The following is a 10,997-nucleotide window of genomic DNA, read 5'->3' as shown; positions in this document are numbered from 1 at the left end:
TTTCAAAAATAATAAGGTTAAGAATAACCTCATGGATTCTGCCCTCATATTACAGCTGACATGTAAAAGTCCTTTTTGGGAACTTTTCAACTCTTCCTCCTTACTCCCTTCAGAAATGAGATATCTAGTTAGTATCTTTATTTAATTTTTATCTGATGTAACTTTGAGAAGGGACATAACACAAGTTTAACTTTGAGAAGGGACATAACACTCTACAATTCAAGGCTTGACTTCCACACTCATAATCCAACAGATATAAATTTTAAAGTGATGACTGAAACACAAGGCCATAAATTTGAAAAAAGAAAGATTTCAAATCAATAATGTAAGCATATATCTTAAGAAACTAGAAAAAGCAGAGCAATTTAAACCAAAAGGAAGCAAAAAAAAATTGAAATAATAAAGAGCAGATTCAATTAAATTGGAAACAAAACAATAGTGAAAAATCAATATAATCAATGGGTATTTTTGGTAGAGATCAATTATATTAAACTCTAACTAGGTCAAGATAAAAGAGAAGTTACAAATAATCAATGTTAGGAATGAAGATGAGACATCACTAGAGATGCTACAGATATAAAAAGCCTAATAAAAGAATTAACAGTGTTAGGCCAATATGTTAGATAGTTTATATGAAAGAAATACGTTCTTTAAAAGGCTACAACTATCAAAGCTCATTCAATGAGATTCAGATAGCCAGAACAGACCTGTATCTATTAAAGAAATTGAATTCATAATTTAAAACATTCCTATAAATTAACTTCTACATATAGATGCCTTCATTGGTGAATCCAAACAAATATTTAAAGAAGAAAAACTTCTGATTTTACACAAACTAGTCTAGTAAACAGAAAAAGAGGAAACACTGTACAACTAATTTTAAGAGTTCATCATTATTCTAATACCAAAACTAGGCAAATATATGAGAAAAAAAACTAAAGAATATTCTTCATGAACATAGACACAAAATCCATTTCAAAATCTTAGCAAATAAAATGTATCAACATGTAAAAAAATACTAAATTATGACCAAGTAGGGCTTATCTCAGGAATGGAAGGTTGGTTCAACATTTGGAAATCAATTAATATAACTTACTATGTAAACAGACATGAAAAAAATTTGAATAGATGCAGAAAAATATCCACCATGTTAAAAACACTCAATAAATGAGGAAAAGAGCAAAACTTCCTCAACCTGATATATAGCATCTATAAAATACAACTAACACTAATATCATAGTTAGTAGAGAAAGAGTGAATGCTTTCCCTGTTAGATCAGGAACAAAGCAAGGATGTCCATTCCTGAGACTTCCATTTAACAATGTACTAGCAGTATTATCAAGCAGAAAAAATAAAATAAATATTGGAAAGACAAAAACTTGATCTTTCTTTTCAAACAATATAATTGTCTATCGATAAAATCCCAACTATTTTACAAAAAGATGTTAAGACTGATATTTAAGTTTAACAGGTCACAGGATACATGGTCTATACATAAAAGTCCACTGAATTTCCATAATAGAAATTAACAATTGGAAATTTGATAAAATAGTAGTACAGTTTGGACAGTTGTCCACTCCAAGTCTTATGTAGAAATACAATCCCTAATGTTTGATGTGGGGCCTAGTTGGCGATATGAGGACCATGAGGGCAAATCCCTCATAAATGTCTTGATGCCCTCTCCACAGTATTAAATGAGTTCTTACTCCCATATTCATGTGAGACTTGGTTGTTAAGAAGAGTCTGGCACCTCCTCCTCCTCTCTCTCTCTGTCCCTCTCTCACCTGGAGACACATGGATCCCCTTCCACTTCTGCTATAATTGAAAGTTCCCCAAGGCCCTCACCAGAAGCAGATGCTGGTACTAGGCTTCTTGTATAGCCTGCAGGGTGTGATGCAAATAATCTTTATTTCTTATAAATTACCCAAAATGCAAAATGGACTAACACAAATACTATTTGCAATGGTATCAAAAAATATAAACTAGAAATAAATCTTTTAAAATACGTGTTAGATTTGAATGCTGAAAAGTACAAACAATGCTGATATAATTTAAAGATGACTTAAACAAAGAAAAATGTTTATATTTATCCAATATTTTAAGATATTAATTATTCTCAAATTGACCTATAGATCCAATGCTATGCCAATAAAAATCCCAGAAGACACATTAGAGAAACTGACAAGCTTATTTTAAAGATTAAATTGAGTATGAAATGACCTAGAATAACCAAAATTATTTTTTAAAAAGATGACAAAGTTGGGGAGCTCATATGAACTGATTATAAGACATACTACAAGGCCATAGTAATCAAGACAGCATTTTATTGGCAAATGAATAGATACATTAATCAATGGAACAGAAAAAGAAATTCAGAAATATTCACTCGTGATTAATTGATTTCTGACAGACATTTTCTGGCAAGGCAATTCAGTGAAAAAAAAAGATAATTTCTTCTACAAATGGTGATAGGATAATTGGACAGTCACATGTAAAAAATGAACCTCAACCTGTATTTTCTCCTATGCACAAAATTTTATTAGAAATGGATCACAGATCCAAATATAAAACTTAAAACTATGAAACTTCTAGAACATTGCATAGAACTAAATTTGACTTCATTAAAATTATAAATTTTTTTTGTTTAGAGACAAGGTTAAGTAAATCAAATTCTAATCTTAGATTGAAAGAAAATATTTGCAGATTGCATGCCTGATGAAGGACTTCTACCTAAAATATATAAACAATTCTTACTCCTCTATACTTTGAAAATAGATACCAATTTAAAAGAAGAGCAAGATATTGAAACAGATATTTTACCACAGCAAACATACAGATGGTAAATAAATATATGAAAATATGCTCAATTTCATTGGTCATTAGAAAATGTGTATTCAACCATGAGACACCACTACACATGTATCAAAATGGCAAAAACAGCTGGGCATGATGGCTCATGCCTGTAATCCCAGCACTTTGGGAGGCCTAGTGGAGCAGATCACCTGAGGTCAGGAGTTTGAGACCAGCCTGGCCAACATGGTGAAACCCTGTCTCTACTAAAAATACAAAAAATTACTCAGGCTTGGTGGCACCTGCCTGTAGTTCCAGCTACTCAGGAGGCTGAGGCAGGAGAATCACTTGAACCAGGCAGGCAGAGGTAGCAGTGAACTGACATCGCACCATTGTGCTCCAACCTGGGCAATAAGAGTGAAACTCCATCTCAAAAAAAAAAAAAAAAAAAAAAGGCAAAAACAATTAAATAAAATAAAACCCTGACAATATCACATGTTGACAAGGATGCAGAACAACTGAAATTTTCATACATTACAAATGGAAAATGGTATAGCTACTTTGAAAAGCTTTTGGCAGTTTTCTGTAAAGTTTAGGATACGCTTACCATGCAATTCAGTGATCCCACTCCTAAGTATTTACCTGACAGAAAGGAAAATATCTGTCTACAATAAGACCTTTATTTGTTGATAGCCAATTTATTTGTAATCACCCCAAACTGGAAACAACTCGAACACCCATGCACTGGCCAATAAATGAACATATTATGGTGCATCCATACAGTGAAACATTAATAATGAAAGTCAACGAACTTGAAAGTCAACTTTACTGATATGTAAAACAACATAGATGAATCTCAGAGAATTATACCATGTGAACTAAATCAGTTACAAAAGGCTACATACTGTATAATTCTATAAATGTGAAAGTCTGGGAATGCAAAACTATAGAGACAGGCCCGGCACGGTGGCTCACGCCTGTAATCCCAGCACTTTGGGAGGCCGAGGCGGGCTGATCACCTGAGGTCAGGAGTTCGAGACCAGCCTGGCCCACATGGTGAAACCCCGTCTCTACTAAAAATACAAAAATTAGCTGGGCGTGGTGGCAGACGCCTGTAATCCCAGCTACTTGGGAGGCTGAGGCAAGAGAATTGCTTGAACCCCGGAGGCAGAGGTTGCACTGAGCCCAGATCAAGCCATTCAACTCCAGCCTGGGGGACAAGAGTGAGACTTCGTCTCAAAAAACAAACAAACAACCAAAAATCTGTAGAGACAGAAATAAGATCAGGGATTTGTAGGGCCTGGGTTTTGAATTTGAAGTTGTGTTTCTCCAAGTTTATAGGCCAATGTGAACTAAAAGGGAGACAAAATAAATCAGAACTTTTTTCTGCTTTAGTTCTCTTTCGCATCCACATTTACATTATGTAATAAATTTCAATTTAGCCATGGAATTATTTGCTGCTTGGGAGAAAATGAGAGCATTCAGAGGCCCTGAAGTTCTGCGAGTCCTAAGAAATATGTAGAGCTCAGATTTCACAGCTTCAGAGTGGGAACTCAAGCACTTTCTCTCTACCAGCTTTCATTCACATTCTTCTCTAAAAATGCAGAACAAAAACAAAAGTAAATGTTTCTGTTAATGAAGATTGTAATTGCCATGAATGATTGTTCTGAAAAATGTGACAATCACTTCTATGATTTTGCTGGAGGCCTTAAAAGATACTACTGGATTTTTCTATATCCCAGTTAATATTAGCAGCAATCTAATATAGCCATTCCACATGTGTCAATTACACAGAATCTGGGCTGGTATTGTTTATGTTAATTCTCATTACACAAAGTGGCAACTTTTGTTGACTATACATTTCTTCTATTACCTCCCTTTCCTTTGTTTTCTGTCTTCCTTTCTCTTCTCTAATGAATTGGATATTTGTTTTCCCTACACCTCCAAAATCCTATGTTGAAATCCTAATTCCCACTGTGATGGTATTAGAAAGTGGAGCTTTGGGAGGTAATTAGGTCATAAGAATGAAGCCCTCATGATGGGATTAATGCTGTTATAAAAGGAAAAGACACCAGCACTTAGTTCCAATTTGTCAGATGATATCTAACAACAAGGAATCATAAAGTTCTTTCTGTATACATTCTCTCTGAATCAAGGGTTCCAGGCAAAAACAATAGAGTAGAACTCAAGCTTTTGTATTCCAGTATGACTCCACTGCCATTTCTCTAATACTAAATTAATTTAAGAAATCCAGCAACTTTTCCAAGACTCTTGCTTCTCTTCATTTTCCAAGAGTTATTTTCATGATTGGTTGGATTGCAACAAGACATTGTACCACAAATCTCTTAAATAACCCTCCTGAACATCCTTATTTGAATATTCTTCACAGTGTATATCAGATAATCTTCAAAGGAGAGTATTAAACTTGGGGTTCAAGATATGAAATAGAAAGCCTGTAGTAACAGCCTGTACTTAGTAAGTTATGGATTAATTTTTCTCCTGTAGAGTCATAGATTTTATGGGTCCTTGGGCATATAGCTCAACTCTTCATTATACAGAAGAAGAAATTATTAGTAGAAAAGTGTCTTGCCCAATACTTTACAACTATTAAATATTTTTAAATACATTTCCAGGTAGCAATGGTAATTAGCAGTACTAAGAATGGTATCATCAGTTGATTGCTATTTTCCAGAGTCCCATGCTTAACTAGCCTGAAAATTTAAAAGGCACGATGATGTTAGGGTCAAAAATGATCCCCAAATCTCAGTGGCATAAAACAATAAACATTTATTTCTTATTGTAGCTACCCATCCAGCAGGGTCAGCAAAGAACTCTATGCATCGTAGTCACTCAGAAGCACAGGCTGATAGAAAGCCACCATTGCAAGTTGACATGGGAAATGGAAAGTCATTGTACTCCTAGAACTTCTACCCAGAAGTAACACACAGTGCATCTAATACGGGGCAAGCCATATGGACATAACTAAGTTTGGGGTATGTGTAGAGAGGTCCAGTTTCATCTGGAAGAGAAGTCTTGAGATATTTGGTAAAATAGTCCAGAGTGCCATTTGCTCACCAAGTATGTGGCTCATTGTCCCTTATACATATTGAATTGCTTAGCCTTTTCCTAAAGGAGAAATGCTATCACGAATTTTCATGTGTATCCTCTCCAGACACAGCTGGACCTGATACAAGGGTGGGCCCTTGTATAGCACAATTCTTATCATTCAGAGTTGATGAAAATGAGAGTCACATGGTAGTCACTAGGGCTTAGTAACTTTGAAATATTGTTTCTCATAAATAACTGAGGTTGCAAGGGTAGTATTAAATCTTGTACAATTACATAATTTACTATTTATTTTAATAAATAATAATTTAATTATGTAATTAAAAATTAATACTGTGGTTTCTTTGCCTGTAAAATACTCTTAGATTTTTTGGAAGGCTTCTTATGTATCTAATTCCCATGTGTGAACTGCCACAGCCACAACTCTTTTCTAGACATACTTTTTAGATATGCAGATCCTTCTTCTCTGCCTTTCTTCCTGTGTGTCTGTTTGTATCACTCTCTCTGTCTCCCTCTTTCTCTCCCTCTAATTACAGAAATTTGGGGCTGCCAGCCTTGATAGGAAAATCTCACACTTGGTTTCTTTTACCTGAATCTTTGTGTTCTGTTGAAAAGTGACTTTAATCTAGTGTTCTCAAAGTATGGTTCTAAGTCTAGCAGCATCAATATCTTCATACCTCTCTACACACACCCCAAAGTTAGAAATGCAAATTATCAGACCCCATCCTAGACTACTGAATTAGAAACCCTGGTGAGGCCCAGCAATCTGTGTTTTAAAAAGTCTTCCAGGTAGTTCTGATTGAGCTAAAGTTTGGGAGCCATACACCGTTTCAGTCAGAATGCCACTGTGATGAGGGAGGAAGAAGAAAGTAATAGAATATTTGTTAGAGAAGTAACAGAAACAGGGAAATGAGCTGGAGGGTTAGGGATCAGATCCTGTAGGGGTTATTTTAAGGTTATTGTAAGAAGTGGAAACCAATAGACCTTGTTTGATAAGACCCTCTGAGTCATAGACATGAATACTTTCATACTCACATGGGCATATTCACTACTCACTAGAGTCTCTGAAAATTTGAACTTCCTAGTTTACAAAGGTTGGCTTTATTTATTTTTTAATTTCTTTACTTTGCCTTGGCCTTCTAAACAGCTATTATTGGCATATGCTAAATGCTGGTGTTCAGACCCCTTAGGTATAGTAGCATCATTCACTTACATATTGTCAATGGCTACTTTCTGCAACAGAGTTCAGTAGTTATGACAAAGACTCCTGAACTAAACCAAAATAAAGATTTCAGTTCTTGTCCTCCAGGCGAGGGCACTAGCACTACAAATGGATATAAAAGCAAGAAGTGGGTTGAGTTAGTACTGAATGTCTGAAATGAGATGGGGCTGGCATCATTACACAGATAAGTGTCATAAACATAATTTATGTGAGAATATGCCTAGGGAGATGGTGATGTTCCAAAGAGATAATAAGACGTTAGAGTGGTTCAGGAAAATTCTTAGATGGAGTGTACATACTATAAGAGTGGTGCTGAAGGAAGAAGGTTAGGAAAAACAGGGACTTTGGGGGAGACCCTGAGGTCCTAAGATTTAGAAAGCATTTGGGAGCCTTTGGAAGGCATATTTTCATGCTTACACAGAGAAAGGACTAATAAAGAAGGGCTAAAAAGAGGCTGGAGGAGATGGTGGAAAATGCGTGGTCTACATACTGGAATCATGGTGCTGAAACTTAGTAGCTGTGAAACCCTGGTAACTCATTTAACCTCTATGGATATCAATGTATTCATTTGTAAAATGGATGTAATCACATATACTTCAGAGGAGTATGATGAGAAAAATTGATATATAAAAGATCAATGGCTTTGTTCCTGCCATCATCCCCCTTTATCCTTCACCACTCTTCTCTCCTGCACCTATACTTTCTGAAGCATAGACACCAAAGAGATGCGGGATACTTTGCAAAATGAGGATGCAGAGGGGGAGAGCAAGAAACAGAGGTGCAGGCTGATTCAGGGCCATGTTGGAGGGGAGCAGTGGCTGCAGAGCCTAGCTCTGGGCATTTCCTCACTTCTCCGAGGCTCTGCAGCTCTTCCTAATTGACATCCTGCAGACCCTGTTTTGTCTTGTTGCTAATTACTATCTATTTGTTCCCCGTTACTAGCCTCATGTTTTATTCCTTGATATTGTTTGCAAGTTTCTTTACAGCAATTGACTAGCTCTGTTTTAGATTACTTCACCGCAGGTATGTCAACGACCATCATTCCCCAAGCTAAATCTTGTTATTGTAAGGTTTGCTGAGGATAAAATGTACATTCAGTTCTTTCTTAGGTAAATGGTTTGGTTTCTCCTGCAAGATAGTATTTGGGCCTGGGAGAGTATTTCAAATAAACACTCTTGCTCTTTTTTCTGAATTTGGACAAAATTCAGATAGAAAACTTTGTCATTAAAATATAAAGAAACCAAAGAAGGTACCTGGATCCTTGCTTTGTCTTTTGGCAGTTGCTGTCACATCTGCTAAGTGTGGTGGGTCTGGCATAGTTGCAAAACTCCACTAGGATTTTGATGAGAATGGAGACCAGTGGGTTATTTTTAGTGTCTAAAATTAATTTAGTAATTAAGTTATTACTGTTTTAAAAAACAATAGTTAGAGTTAAACTAGGAACAAGAAGGGAAAATACATCCTCACTGTGTATTTACACAAAGTCAAAAATATGTATATACAGAAGCAGCTCAATTTTTCAGTATGTTTATGGAAAAATTCAGCATCAGTCTTATTTTTCAGCTATTTACTATGGACTAACTTCAAAAACATGTTCTTTTCCCATGAAACTCACGGGGAGCTTTTTTATTGAGGTCCATGAAATAAAAGAATTGTATTGAGCAGCAAACGGAATCAGTCTTTCTCTTTAACATATTTTACTTTGTTCATTACCAGATTATAAGGATGACTAATTCGCCCATTGAGTCAACTTTATTTTTAAGTTCCTACTGTGAGCAAGACAAGGTAGACAGAGATCTCACTTTCAATACTCTTGATATTTGGCATAGTACACAGTTTATAGCCTGAGTATAACTAATATAATAGCATTAACAAGGGGCCTATTTTTCTATTTTTTCTGGTTGAAAGATTTCTCTGAGGAAATAATATTTAAGAAAAACCTGAAGGACACACAATTGGTGATTAGGACATTTGCTGGGAAGTAACTTTCTAAGCCTGGAGGAGGGTAACATGTTCACAGGTCCACTGAAGGCTTATGTCTAGTTGGGGAAGGGAAGGCAGGAGCAAGGGAAGAGGCCAAAAAGTCAAGGAAAAGCCTTCGAGACTATGCAAATAATTTGAATATTTGTCATTTTGCCATTACTTTTCATCTCTGGAGTATTTCACCATTTTCAAAGTACATTCACAAATAAAATGTCACTTAATTCACCTGGATCTTGTGAGTTTGTTTGAATAATCAGTGGAGAGACTAGAGGGCTGTCCATATTTGCAACATCCATCCATCCATCTCTAGTTACTTACAAAACTTCTATTTTTGTCAAATTGCTTTTAATATTAAGAGCATATTGTTAGAGAAATATATGGAACCTGATTTAGGTCCTAATTTAGTACTCTATTCTCTATAATAATAGCTAACATTTATGTCTAAGTACTTTATGTGTATTAATGCATTAAACCCTATTATCCTTACAAGGAAAGTACTATTATTATTCAACATTTTACTGAACAGAAAAGGAAGAGATATGCCCAAGAGTACAACTGGTACATAACAGAGGTGTAATTTGAATACAGACGTCTAGCCCATACAGCCTTGCCCACATTTTTCCTCTTGTCTAAACTCTGATGCTTTGCTTTTTGGTAGAAACATTATCTTTATGTCTTCATATAAGCAAAACATTATTCTAGGCACTCTTATAAGGTCTCAGGTTTTATTTTTTTTTGTATATAGCTTTCAGTTAACCCAAAGGAGAAATTAACGTATAATGAATAAATGTATACAGACATTCATATTAGTGTCAAGATGAATTATAATTGATTTACTTGTTACTTAAAGAGGGAATATATTTTTGTAAATTCCCTAGGTTATTGGACTTATAAATTAGAGGTCCATATTTAGAAATTTAAAAAATTTCGTATTTTTATTCTGAATTTTTCTTTTATTATGGAAAGATAATATTCTCTTTTTTGTCCAGGTGTTTCTGTGCGTCAAAGGTAAATCAAATATGTCATGGATTTTCTATTTTGAGACACATCAGAACATCCTTCTGAATATGTAAACATCCCTCTCCACATTCCAGTAACTCTTTCTAAACCTGTCAATTTATGTATGTATATGGATCAGCAGAGAAGATGGATTTTGTTAAAAATTTACCAGATTAGAAAGAGGATGTAATTGAAATTCGGTGTTATTATCAGTTTCTGGATCTATATAATGTATGTTTATGTCTATATAGTCAATAATCATTAGGTCAGTAGATATTTATTAAACAGCTACTACATTGAAATTACTGTAAAGGCATTGTATAACTAATAATGATCAAAAAAGTATAGTCTATTGCTTCATGGAGATTCAATTCAGTAGAAGAATCAGACAGCAAATAAGAAATCCTAAGAGTAATAACTATTTAGAAGTACATGAGAGCATAAAATACATCGATTCAATTTCAAAGTCTCTTTGGCCTCTAAAATTTTATCATTCTAACCTTAGTTTTACATAAGTTAGGAGTTACATCTTCTCATCTTGGATTTGTTACTATTTGTGTGATCTGAGAAAACCCAGAGAATCACAATATTCAAGACATAAGGATTGTAGTTATTTTCTGTATTTTATTTTCCCCATTTAAAAAATGCAGACAGAGAGTGTGGGAGATGGCCTAGTTTAATGGTTCTCAAACATGAGTGTACATTAGAGTCACTTGGAAGATTGTTAAAACACAGGTTGATGGATCTCCTTACCTTCTGCACAGAGTTTCTTATTGAGTAGCTCTAGGCCTGCTGAGTATTTGCTTTTCTAAAATGATTCCAGGTGAGTCTGATGATTCTGGCTTTGAGATCACACTTGGTGAACTTCTGGCCTAGAGGACCTTGAGGAACTATGAAGTACTATGTACTGCAAGAAATAGGACTATCTGAAGAAGCT

General features: G+C 35.0%; 1 annotated feature.

Moving 5' to 3' along the window:
• Positions 7,760-8,346: an enhancer, noted in NCBI's record as "NANOG hESC enhancer chr11:91450108-91450694 (GRCh37/hg19 assembly coordinates)". NCBI's record gives its function as "activates a minimal SCP1, AML or CMV promoter by ChIP-STARR-seq in naive and primed H9 embryonic stem cells {active_cell/tissue: H9 hESC(naive and primed)}" and the evidence as "EXISTENCE:reporter gene assay evidence [ECO:0000049][PMID:30033119]".

This window comes from Homo sapiens, chromosome 11 (genome assembly GCF_000001405.40).
Source record: "Homo sapiens chromosome 11, GRCh38.p14 Primary Assembly".
NCBI lineage: Eukaryota > Metazoa > Chordata > Mammalia > Primates > Hominidae > Homo > Homo sapiens.
The sequence above is the reverse complement of the archived record's forward strand: the minus strand, read 5'-3'. Positions and strand labels throughout refer to the sequence as shown.